Raw genomic sequence first — 13,772 nt, forward strand, 5'->3', positions numbered from 1 at the left:
ATGATACCAGTCCCTAGTGCCAAAAAGGTTGGGGACCACTGCATTAAATGGTCTATGGCAGTTTTTCGTATTCTGAAAAGTTTCAACCTAAGCTCAAAATACTGCAATAAAACTTTACGACTGCTAACTCATCAAATTACTGGCTAAGGCACATCAGGATATTCAGCTTCTACTCATGACAGAATTCACAGAATGATTGTTAAATCCATGAAAGCAAATGAATTTTATAAGTGACACTGTTGGTTCAATAACACATGATAGATTTGAGTATTTTTCACAAAGTACCTGCTGATAAGTAATACAGTGAATAACCACAACCGTTAAAAACCCAAAATGTTCACTAGCTTTTTAAATTTGTCAAACTAAGCCTTTTTCTATCCTACATTTTTGCCACCATCCATTTTAACACATTTTAGCAGATTCTACTTGAGATTGTACTGAATTTGTGTTTTCTCAATTTGTTTAATCTTTAAACTTCTCTAATTAAAGTTCTTTAATCGTTAACACCTTTAATCTTTGCCTATAGTTATTCCACAGAGAATGTTCATTCATAGAGACTGATTTTCCAGGTCACTTCAAACTCAGCATTGACTCCTCAAATAAACAATAACAGTTAAGCCGTATCTGTATGTCAGTTGACATGTAAAGAGCCAAGGAAAACAACTTGAAATCATTTGCCTTGTTTTTAAATTGCATGTTAATGTTGCTTCCAAGTTTTGCAGCTCTTTGAACAGGGGTATCACCAAAATGCTAATAGTCTTAAACCAGTTTATTTTTTTATAAGCATATATCTGCTACAATATAATTTAATTTGCTTGTCTAACAAATGTGCCATTTGAAAAGTTACTTTGGTGCAGCTTCATTTTGCATGTTTACATTTTGTGAAGTTCTGTGTGATGGAATTTTTTTTTAATTTACTATTTTTTAAACCGTCACTTTACTTTTAGTTGGCAATATTTTGATGAGCGCTTATGCTAGTAATGTTGTCATGTATTGTATTCTTTTAGTATAACTACAGTCTCACTGCATAATAAACAAAGTTATTTGCCATGTAATTACGTAGCAAAATAATCCACACTCCATTGTGCCTTCAAAGCATGACACTTGAAGTTTATTTATCTTCTTTCTTCTTTTGACGTATGCAATAGTAATGAGAAAAGTAATGCAAGAGTCATGGTAAGGTAATATGCATGGCACTCCAAATGCTGTCAAGTTTTAACTGTCACTGTGATTCATAGTGAACTGAGCAATGGTGGGAATCAATGAGAATGTCACCTATGATCTCCATCACAACTCAGCTCTGCCATTGTCACACAAAAGCAGCCATAAACAGTGCATAAATGATGAGCATGGCTATGTTCCAATAAAGCTTTATTTGTAAACACTTAAATTTGATATAATTTTCATGTTATCAATTATTACTATTCTTTTCATTTTTCTATTTAACCATTTAGAAAGGTAGAAATCATTCACAGGTCGTAGGCTGTACCAAACAGGCAGCAGGTTAGATGTGGCCCATGGACCAAATAATTTACTGAACTCTGTCCTATATTATTGATTTTTCTCTTTATTGGATCTTTCTTCTTAGCATACAAACCAGCTGTTATTGTTCTCTGCTTGAAAAAAAAAACACCAACAAAATAAAGACAACAAAACCCCCCTTGTAGGGCTCCATTTTTCCTTGCAGCTAGTGTTCCTCTTGTGTGCTTTCTTTATAATGTTTTGCAAAAGTTGTCTCCACTCCCATCTCTTATTTCCTTTCTTTCCATTTTCTCTTGAACCCATTTCAATCAAGCTTTGCCTCTACCTCTCCACTGTAACTGCTTTTGTAAGTATCTGACACAATTTATCACTCTATCCTCCTTGAAATACTTTCTTCACTTGACTTCAAGGACACCATAGTCTTCATTTTCTTCATTCCACACTGGATATTTATTTTATGATTTGTTGTTAATTAATCTCCTTCTGAATTACTTCTTAACTTTTGTTTTAACTCTTATAAGTCTTGGTCCTTTTATCTTCTCTATGTATGCTCACTACTCTTATTATCTTATCCAATTTCTGGTAAGTATTCTGTATCTGCCACTGGCTTTCTAATTTATATCCCGAGCTCAGACAGTTTCATGGAACTCCAGACTTGTTTATACATCTATGTAATATATCTGCAATTGATTTTATAAGAGATATCTCAAATTTGACATCTCAAAAACTCAGTTCTTTTATATTTCCCTGTAAACCTGTTTTATTTATAGTTTTCACCATTTCAGTTGATGGCCATTCCATTTTTCCAGTTGCTTAGACCAGAACTTTGGAATAAACTCTGACTCTTCTTTCTGTCATAGCACATTCTTATTTTTCATGTGTGATTGTTAGATCTACCTTTAAAATATAACCAGAATTGAGCCACTTCTCACCATTTCCCCTGCTACCACTGTGAACCATGCCACCATCATTCTCACCAGGAATCTAGCAGTAAAATCTTAACTATTCTCCCTGCCCTAGTACCTTTGTAGAGTGATCTCAAGAGTGAAGCCAAATTGGGCATGGTGGCTTACGTCCGTAATCCCAGCACTTTGAGAGGCTGAGGTGGGAGGATTACTTGAGGCCAGGAGTTCGAGACCAGCCTGAGCAACAAAGCAAGACCCCATCTCTACAAAAATAAAAATAAATAATTAGCTGGGCACAGTAGCTCATTCCTGTAGTCCTAGCTACCCGAGAGGGAGGTGGGAAGATCACATGACCCCAGGATTTTGAGGTTGCAGTGAGCCAAGATCACACCACTGCAAAGCCTGGGTGACACAGTGAAGCCAGAGAGATCATTTAAAAATGTAAGACCTGACATGTTGCTCTTTTACAATGTCTCCTCAGAGTAAAGGCCAAAGATCTTGCAGTGGCCTGCAATTCCCTGTGTGATCCATGACTCTGTTCCCCCACCCTGTTTCCTTTCTGACCTCTCTGACTCCATTTTCTATTCCTCCTGCCATTGCTCACTCAGAACCAGCTTCTCGGACTCTTTGCTCTTTCTCACATCAAACCCATGTCTGCATTAGGACCTTTCCAGTAGCTGTTCATCTTTCCCATAATATTTACATGGCTAGCTCTTAATCTGTTTCCAGTCTGTGCTCAAATATCAATTTCTCCTAGTGGCCTTCTTTTAGCAACCCATGTATACATGCTACCAACCCTCATCCCCCCCATACCAGCATTCTTCTTCCTTGTTTAATCTGCTGTATTTTTTCATGGCTTTATTATCTTCTAATAATGATGTGTTTTATTTATTATATTCATTTTTGTTGTCTTTTTCTCCCCGCAAGGCTGTAGGCCATGAGGATAAGAATTTTGTTTGGTTTTGTTGATTCATGAGGCCTGAGTGCTTGACATGTAGTAGGTGATCAACAGACATTTGTTTTAAATAGTATCTTGAAGACAATTTTGTAAATCATTTTTTCTATATCTAGAATTGTAAGATTTTAGAGCTGGAAGGGATTTTATGTTATAAATAGTTTCTAAACCTGTGCTAATAGCCACATGGTACTATTCAAATGTAAATTAAAATTAAGTAAAGATTTAGTTCCTCAGTCCTAGTAGCAACTTTTAAGGGCTCTTGTGTTCAGTGGCTGCTGTATTTGACCACTCAGGTATAGCACTTTTCTGTCATACCAGAAAGCTCTATTAGACAGCCCTGGGCCCATGGATTCCCCAAGGTCATACAGGTCATTAGTCCATGACTGATATTGAACCCAGGGGACTCAAATGATTTATGAAAATTACAGAGTATTCCTTCTCATATAAATGCCCTGGGGATCTTGTTAACATTGCAAATTCTGATTTACTAAGCCTGAGATGGGGCCTATACTTTTACAATTCAAACAAGCTACAAAGTAATGCCAGTAATGCTGACCTGCAGCATCACACTTTGAGTAGCAAGGCTGTAGAATGCTCTAAAATATTAAGGAATAACTCCTTTTAACATTTTAAGTAGGACATGTATTCATTTTTACCGCAAAGGTATGTTTTGTAATTAGAATAATGTTTCCTAATAAAACTAGGTGAAACCTTAAATACTGGTTTTGTACAAAGCTACATATATTAAAACATGTTTTCTATTCCCAAATGAAAACTTGATAAATAATAGTCAAGCAGGAGAAAATAAGAAACTAAGAGGCTATAGAACATTGATTTTAAGAATGTACTTGACATAGGCTGGTTTGTGGTTTATATTTCTAATGCTGTGTAGATGTAATGGCTGTTCTGCTAACATCTATAGCAAGATACTGGATTCGGTTAGCTTGTTCTAGTGTATTATATAATAAAAGTTTAGAATAGTGAGAAGAGGGGAGGTTTTTCTTGTTGAAATTGACTTGTTCCATTTTGTTTCAGAATGTGGATTTGATCTTGGAAAGTATGGTACTATCTTTTGAATGATAAAAGTACATTGAATTTTTCTGTTCCAAATTTTGTAAAGAATAATTCTTTAGCAGAACATTCTTTGTTGTAATGATTTTTTTTGTCAAATTCTAATTGTAAAGTAATTGGATTACTTTAATAAATTACTAGTTAGTAAATGTAATAAATTTACTTTAAATAAATTTAATAAATTTATCCTTAGTTGCTTATGCAGATGACCACTCATCTTTTACCTAAAACGATTTATGTCTTTGATGATGTTACATTTAGATATCAGAAAAAGACATTGCCATGAAGCTGTCTAAATTTTCCAATGTAATAGAATATTTGTTCATTTTATAGACTGAGAAACAACTGTCAGTGCTCTTGCCTATAGTAGTATTATTGGCAAATTTATAGAGCATAATCAAATAAAACATTTTGTAATAATTGAGTTCAAATAGTAAAATATACTTGATATATGAACTTTCTTTTGGTCTCTACTGCTGGCCAGTTATGCCTAAAGTTGACTTACTATCAGAAACGCATGAGGCATCTATTAAAAAATAGATTCCTGAGGTCTTGCCCCAAGAAATTCTGATTTAGTAATTCTGGGATGTGTCCCAGGAATCTGTATTTTTACAAGTATCTTGGGTTTTCTGACTAAGCGAACAATATAAATAGAGTGCCTAGAACAATAACTGGCAGATAGTAATTACAAGTAAATATTAGATCTTCTCCTCCCCTCCCGTCCTTTCCACTAAAATTATTATCATTAGCCCATCTGTTAACCAAACTTTGGTTAGGTTTTCCTTTCTTTGATGAAGAGGCTTAGGAAATATGAGAGAATAAGATCATTCCTCAGTTGCGCAAATATTCACTGAGGGCTTTCTAGTTGTGGCACGCACTATTCCAGATCTTGGCAGTGCAAAGGTGAACCTGACATGTTTTTAAGTCAGGGAATTGTAGCCTATTCGGGTAGATATATAAGTAAAATCACCTGTCTTACAGTGTAGTAGGTGCTACATTAGAGCTAGGTGCAGGTGCTGGGCGGCACATAGGAAGGCCGGGTAGGCCAGCTGTTTGTCAGGGAGAGTTTTGTAAGGAATAGTGAGGCCTCAGATGAGATCTAAGGGTAAGTAGGAGTTAGCCAGATAAAGAAGGGGCTGCGTAAAGAGTGTGTCAGGGCTAAGAGTGCCACAGCTGAAAGAGCATACTTCTTCAGTGAATTGCAGTGGCTCAGTAGAAGCAGGAGATCCTCTGGAGAGGTGAGTGGGAATTCGAGCCATTAATCTATGACAAGGAATTGAGGCCTTTATTCTGCAGGTAGTGGGCAGTGATTGAAAGTCATTGAAACAACATTTTGCATTTGAGAAAACAAATTACTCTGGCTGGAGTGTGGAGAAGGGACTGGAAAGAGGGAAGGGGTCATGATGGAAGGAAGAGGAAAAAGCAAGTTTAGAAGAAAATGGAATTTTAAAATATTAGCCTAGAGAAAAAAAAATATGTATATAAGGGATGTGTGTGTATCTTTTTGTTTTATAAATGTTTAAACATATTTTTAAAATATAGGCAGAATAGTCTAACCCCATGTGCCTGTCACACAACCACAACAATTAGTGACTTATGAACTATTTTGTTGCGTATCTATTCCCACTCACTTCCCCTTCCCTTCCTTATTTTGAAGCAAAATCCTGACGTGATTTCATCTGCAAGTCTTTCAGTATGTATCTCCCTAAAGTGAGGACTTATTCTTTTGAACGGAGACATAATTACACCTAAATAATAATCATTTCTTAATATCATTATATATCTAGTCAGTGTTCAAATTTCCAGTTGCCTCATGAATGGTAGACTTCACAAACTTGTAAGTGAAATAACTAAGACTGTCCAGACTTCTGACTTCAGATGTGTGAATCTGTTTTCTCCCATACACAGCTGCTTTGCTGCTCCCAAATTGGAGAAAAAAAAGTTAGTTACTAGCATGATGTTAGGTAGATACAAAAGTTTCTACAACCTGCTTTTTGTATATATCCTCAAACTACTACATCCTGAGCTGCCCAAGTGTTTTCTTTTGTGCTAGTAAGTGCTACTTTAGGCAGTTGTATGGCATTATATTTCCAACTATGCTTTCATCTTTTTTAGGAGTAAGAATTATACTTGAAAAACTGTACACCTGTTACTTGAGCCTGAATTTTATAGCTCCGTGGCTGACTGTTGGCAGGCTCTGGGATTTGGAGCTTACCATCTAAAAGAGATAGTACTGAGAAAGTTGAGGTATACTACGAGAATTTTTTATGATCCAGGAATAGACAACTTTGTAAATTCAGGCTACTAATATTGTGTAAAAATGGGATGTTACGTATCCAAGTATTAACCTAAGGATAATTTATAGTTCTATTAAGAAAAATTAAAACAAGATTATTTCTCATTGTTGACTATATTTGTACCCTTGAGTAGGGAGATGTTTGTGGTTTGTCAGTTATTTATACCACCACCTTCTTCATCCATATTTTATTAAAAGTTAGTGTACTTTTATTGCCTCTAATCTCTTTTACAGATTTTATTTTGTGAAATATTATACATACAAAAGAATATAACACATGGTTATAGTTTTAAAAACAATAATAAAATGAAAGCTCACATAAAAAATAGAACAGTAACAATATTGAAGGCCATCCTGGTGCCATCCAAAACACACTGTGCACTCTGATTCAGAGCTAAACAATGTCCTGGATTTTATTGAATTATTTATTAATTTAGTTTCATTACAAATGTATGCATCCCTAAACACTGTTGCTTAGTTGTGCACATTTTTAATCACTTTTATAAAAATGAAAACATTCTTTGTATGTTTTTTATAGGACTTTTACTTTATTCAAAGTTAACATTTTGAGATTCTTTTATATGAGACAGCAATTTGTTCATTTTTCATTGTTGTTTTGGAGTTTGTTGTATGAATATAACCCGATTTACTTACACTTTGCCTATTGAAAAACATTTGGAGGGCGGGTGCTGTGGCTCATGCCTGTAATCCCAGCACTTTGGGAGGTCGAGGTGGGTGGATCACCTGAGGTCAGGAGTTCGAGACCAGCCTGACCAACATGGCAAAACCCCATCTCTACTAAAATTACAAAAATTAGCTGGGCGTGGTGATGGACTTCTGTAATCCCAGCTACTCGGGAAGCTGAGCTAGGAGAATCATGTGAACCCAGGAGGTGGAGGTTGCAGTGAGCCGAGATCGTGTCATTGCACTCCAGCCTGGGTGATGAGCAAGACTCTTGTCTCAAAAAAGAAAAAGAATCAAGAAAAGAAAAACATTTGGAATATTTCTGGGTTTTTTTTTTCTATTTCTCTTACAGACTATGTACATGTATAGGAATTTTTCCAGATTTTTTAAATCTGGGAAAGGTTTTGTTGCTTCACAAGGCCATGAATCTTTAACCTGGCTTGGTATTGCCAAATTGTTTTCCAAAGTGGTTGTGCCAGTTGATACTCGCTCCACAGCTGATGAAAGTTCCCATTGCTCCATAACCTCAACAGTACTTCATCGTATATTTAAGTGTTTTGCCAGTCTGCAGGGTATGAATAAACATCTCATGATTTTGTGTGTTCATTACCCTCATTTATAATTAGCTTGAGCTTTTTTTATTTTTGAAGATTTTTAATTTTGAAGATTTTTTTAATTTTTGAAGATAATTTATGTTTTCTCTGATGTGCTTTTTCTTATCTTTAGCCCATTTTTCTGTTTCTTGGGTTGTCTCTTACTGATTGATAGGAGTTCTATTTTTTATACCCTCAATACTAATCTTTTGTTAGTTAAATGTGTGTTGTGGATATCTTCTACCAATTCATGGTTTTCTTTTTCTATTTTTATGATGTCTTTTATGAAGAGTTTTAATTATCTTTAATCCATTGCAATCTGAATTCTGTCCCCACAGCTCTGTTGACATTGGCTCTTGAAGGCAAACTTCATAATGAGGGGAAGAGTCAAGTTTTGTGTAACCTGAAGCATATACAGTGTGAGCATACTCTTTAAGACTAAGTTATGAATATAAAGTTAGATGCAAAAGTAAATGATTACAATGAGACTATAAGTCACAACAATTACAAATTTTAAAAGCTACCAAATACTACAAATATTGCAGTTTTAAAATATAACATTCCTCTTAACTGCCTTGTATATCTTTATATTACTTATCTATTTTTTACTATATAAAGCCTGATTACCTTTGTATAATGAAAATTTTGTAATGTAATTTTGAAAGTTGGAGTATAAAAATGATCCGTATTTTCTTTAAATCATCTTAATATGGTTTAGTATTGACAGTGGAGATGCATAAAATATGTTCCTCTTCACACAGACTTGTTTGTAGCACTCCTGCAAGTTTAGGTTCTACAAACACGGACGTGCTGGTAGAGTCTATTTTTTCATCATTTCTGTCAAAAAAGAATTTATTTTCTGTTTTGGTCCGGTGTGTATTCATTTGTTAAACTGATGAGAAGAGAATTTCTGTTTTGACCAGGCATAGAAAAGAGAATCCTCTGTTTAAAATGTTCTGTGTGATGATTGAAAGGATTTTTCTATAGAAGAGTTCACGGCTCCATGTATTTGCATGTATGGCTGCTTCACTACTCGCATGTTCCCCACCCTGAGCTTTATAGAACATGTTGTATTACAATCCTGGTGCTTAAGTCATGACTCCAGGTAAGTCAGCACAAAAGGATGGAAGATATTCCTGGAAATCATTCCTACCCTAGGGCTCTGCCAATTACTTAACCATATGCGAAAGTGACTGTAAATCACATAGACAGGTTCACACAACTCGAGTTAATATATTCCCATCTCAAATACTTCTTAGGCAAATCCGAAAAATGTTCACTCATAGCTGTAGTAATGACAGCAGACACATTGATGAAGGGCAAGTCAGAGTGGAAAGTGACAGGGGTCTTAACCAATTACAGTTAAATCTCTCACTCCTGCAAAAACATCTGACGCATTGAGCACATTCATAGGTCCTTGGAAACAGCCTGTGGCGATGAGATACCTGGACACTAGTTTCAGGGTAAATCCTGCATCTTTAATCTGCTCGCTCTCTCTACAGCCCTGAACACTTTCCCTTGCTTGTTTTCTTTACTTTCTCACCTTTAGTTGTCTCTCCCTCAAAGGCTTTTCTAGACTCTACTAACTTAATGTATTTCTCCAATATCTGCCTTGCTTTTAATTTTTTCATCCTGTAGTATCCCTTTGACCTTACTGATCCCACCGCTTGAACTGTCCTTACCTGTTCTTATGTGACGGTGACTCCAAAATTTCCATGTTGAATCCTGAATGTCTGCCTGACTCCGGCATTCCTTTTCTGATTGTGAGCAAGGGGCATCTCCTAATTGACATGGCTCCTCAGATGCCTCAGATTATATATGTTCAGAGCAAACTTTTAATATTTCTTCCAGACCATTCACCACTTCATCCTTTCATGTTCCAGTCATTTCTATTCTCAGCTCTGGGCATTTTCATTCTCCCAGTCACGTAGCCTCAAATCTTCATCATCTCCGTTACCTTATTTTTTCACACTTTACTTCCCTCATTTTGCCCCTCTATTCTCCTATCCCATGGATTCACCTTGTATGTCATTTACATTTGCCTTTTTTCTTCCCTCAGCTCCTTTCCCCCATTTCAGATTCTCTAACAGAGGTACAAACTGCTGTGGGATATGGACAAGGGGAAGTGAAGACGAATTCAACTTTTCCTAAAGCCTCATGTAAATCTGTCTGCTTATCTCCATCTTCACTTTGTCCATGATCCCAAAATTCAGAATTTCTCTACCATTTTTCTATATACATTTTTTTAATATTGGTCATAACATTTAAAAACTGTGTAGAAGGCCAGGTGCCGTGGCTCAAACCTGTAGTCGCAACACTTTGGGAGGCCAAGGTGGGCGGATCATGAGGTCAGGAGATCAAGACCATCCTGGCCAACATGATGAAACCCCATCTCTAACTAAAAATACAAAAAACCTAGTGAAGCATGGTGGCGTGCACCTGTAGTCCCAGCTACTCAGGAGGCCCAGGCAGGAGAATCGTTTGAACCTGGGAGGGGGAGGCTGCAGTGAGCCATCGCACCACTGCACTCCAACCTGGGCAACAGAGCGAGACTCTGTCTCAAAAAACAAAAATTGTGTAGTAATATTTTGTCAACATAAGATTATAAGCACCTGTATGGTTGTAAACATGTAGTGGGCAAGGAATCTATTCTCACTTTGGTCCAGAACAATGCCTTACATGTAATAGGCCCTGAAAAAGTACATGTGGAATTGACTCCTTCAAAAGTGCCTTTTGTTGCCACTTTTTGTTTTCAAAAATAGATACATGTAATTATACCTTTACATATAGTATAGAGCTTGCAGTTGATTTATAGCAGTATTTGACATAAAACACAACTTCTTTCTTAAGGTGACTTCGTGCCTCTAAAAAGCATACTAGGAAAAACATACTGTGTATTATACTGAAGACAAACAAGGCCTAGTGGCCCCTAGTCCAGTTCTGAGACTGGCTGATCTTTGGTATATTTCATTTTAAATTTCCTCTTGTAGGAATGTCATTCCATTTTTAATCTGCCCGTGTCATGAGTTTCTAACCGCAGGTGCACAAGGAAGTTGGCACTTCAAGCTGGCAGGGATTCATTTCTTCCTTAGCTGATTCCCCAGCAGATCCCTTCTCCAGTTTCACTGCATGCTTTCTGTCTTGTGAATTCCTGTAAGTGTATCTCTTCTCTCATCTTTCCCACTTCTTTTAGAAAAAGAGCAAATACAATTGATCTTTACCTTTTTTTTTTCAAGCTTTAAAATTGTGGTTCAAACTCATTGTTATGTTTAGTGTGATCTTGTAGAAAATGCACTGTACTTTAGGCTCATAGACTGTAGTTCTGCCAGAGCCTAAAGTATAACTACAGTCAAGCCAGGTGATCTATCTGTGCCACATTTGCTTAATCTTGAAAGTGAGGGTGAGCCTTAGGGCTGTTCTGTGGATCAAATAAAATGATGAAAACTGCTTTGAAAAGCTTGGAGCAGAATTTTTCAACATTGAGAAATGTTCAGACAACCTTTAAAGGAAAAAATTATCATGGACCCCTGGTGTTGACTTAGCATTGTAACGTTAAAAAAAAATCCAGTTGTACTTTTCACATACTTTATACTTACTTATTTCTCTTATACAGATAAACAGCTATTAAACTATTAAATAAATATATGAAAAAGGTCCCAGAACAATTATACCACCAATAGCTTATTTACAAATTGACAAGATCAGTTTAATGAACAATATTGTTGTTTTTGCTGCTGTTTGCTGAAACTAAATTAGTGTAACTGAGCATTGTACTGATTACTGCCACTGGTCTTGTAATGATTCAGTTCTCTCAAGCTATATCTCTGTTTAAGCTAGAGAAACCTTGGCTTATGGAATGCAGTCCCATTATTTAATATTTACTTTCTGAATTTACATCTCTGTTTATTTTTTTTTAGTGCTTGGCAAATAGTATTAATAGTATAAAACCTTGCCACATCGTACCATTATTTTGAATTTAAATTGGTGTTTTAGTTTGTTTGCGATTCTAGAAACTAAAAATGTATTCTGTTGAATGGTATTATAACATGAATTATTACTTAAAAATTTGTCTTAAAGCTGATTAAAACAAGACTCTTTTACTATAGTGATAGTTGCTGTATATTAGGTTACACTTTGAGAAACACACATAATGTTATATGATATGTTATATATAATACACAATGTGTAAATGTAAGGGGGCATTATAGATATCAGACAATAGTTGTAAATTGTTCAGCCATTTTTATATGATATAATATTCTATAAAGAAAAAATTATTATTTTTTGAAAACAACTACTGATTCATCCTTAAATATTTATTATTTTATAATTTACTAGGGTAATTTTGATCCTCACATTAATCAGGTATTCTAGGAAAATATGGTACATTTCAGATTTGTATGCATATTAGAGAAATAGAGACCCTAGAATATATTTTATCTGAATATATTGGCTGAAATACATGAGTATCTACATGCCTACATTTTAAGGAAGTTTTCCATATTCCTATTTCAACTAAGTTCATAGTCTAGCAGTGTGCCGTATTACTGGAAGGGGTAGTCCTAAGTGGATAACTGTAGTAAAAAGATTTCTTTAAAAATAAAATAAGCTTTACTCCCTAGAATTCAAGCATAGCATGCATACCACAGGGATTTTTTATTCTTTCTTTTATATGTAATGCCATGGATATTTCAAAAGTATGGAAGTATGATGTATGAGAAATGTCTTTCAATTACATATAGTGAAAACATTCTAAAATGACCTTGGAATATAGAGTCTGAAATATCCAATCACCAGCTCAAAGATTATGTTTTACTTATTGATTTGGCATTTTGCAAAATATTAATTTTTAGATTGTTCTTTGATTTTTCTATTGATTAATACCACCTACTGCTGATTTATGAGGCTTTTCTTACAAGGGAAATAAAAGAAGTCAAGTTTTTTGAAGATTGGAGTTAGTTATATTAGGGAATGCTGAATTTAGTATTTATGTGAAATTCTATGTAAGTTTTCTTGTATTTTTAATGTGTTTTCTCTTGTTACCAGTTTTTGTGTGTTTGTTCTCCCTTGCCCAGCCCCCATTCTTAGAGGCTATGCTTTTGAGGTCAGTAGTAAATGGAGTTGTCTTCTCTAAATTTGTTGGACTTAATTCGAGAACGGTAGAATGAAGGAACTAGTGAAGTCTGGGGCACAGAGAATCCCGTATTAATGTTACCACCAGTCTTATAACATGGCAGATAAAGACGTAATGATATGTTTTGTCAACTAGTAATTAAAATGTGACAATTGAAATAATTAAGTAAACTTATTCCTGATAATTCCTAGCAGTATGGCGTTTTAGTGATAAAATATAAAGTTAAATTTGAATCACAGTTGTTAAAATTAGGGATTATTGCTTACTAATCCAGAGTTCACACACTTGTCTTGGTCTTTCCCTTTAAGTTTGCAATTTTGAACAAAGTATAGGATTTCTCCCTTGTGTGATAGGAACACATTGTAATGAAATCCTTCATGCATCACTGCATTGATTTTGTATTATTTGTGCTGAGAGAGGGAAACAAAATGATTATTTTCTAATGCTGAGTGGAATGATTCAAAGCAAAGATAAGTGAAAAAATGCATAGCAGCTGGAGAACAAATGTTACTCCCATCAATTATTCCCTGACAGATGAGGGAGTATTCTCAGGCAGACCTCTAGAATCACTGTTTCCATCTAGGCAGGGTGTACTAAAATAATTTCTCCACGTGTATTTTAGGTGCTGTTGTATTCTCCATATGAAATA

General features: G+C 35.4%; 1 protein-coding gene across 17 annotated transcripts in view; it reads left to right on the plus strand.

The window, feature by feature from the left end:
* RNF217 (ring finger protein 217) overlaps positions 1-13,772 on the plus strand; it is a 130,198-nt gene that overhangs the window by 25,811 nt on the left and 90,615 nt on the right. For 8 of the 17 annotated variants that reach the window (XR_007059212.1, NR_104440.3, XM_047418245.1 and 5 more), the window contains one exon: positions 8,328-8,408. The exons of the other annotated variants lie outside the window; for them this stretch is intronic. Coding sequence is in view for 5 of the 8 variants with exons in the window: in XM_047418245.1 (XP_047274201.1) it covers positions 8,328-8,408 (81 nt within the window). In the remaining 3 variants the exon portion in view is untranslated. Of the gene's footprint in view, positions 1-8,327; positions 8,409-13,772 lie in introns of those variants that run through there. 17 annotated transcript variants of the gene reach the window in all.

This window comes from Homo sapiens, chromosome 6 (genome assembly GCF_000001405.40).
Source record: "Homo sapiens chromosome 6, GRCh38.p14 Primary Assembly".
NCBI classification, from domain to species: Eukaryota; Metazoa; Chordata; class Mammalia; order Primates; family Hominidae; genus Homo; species Homo sapiens.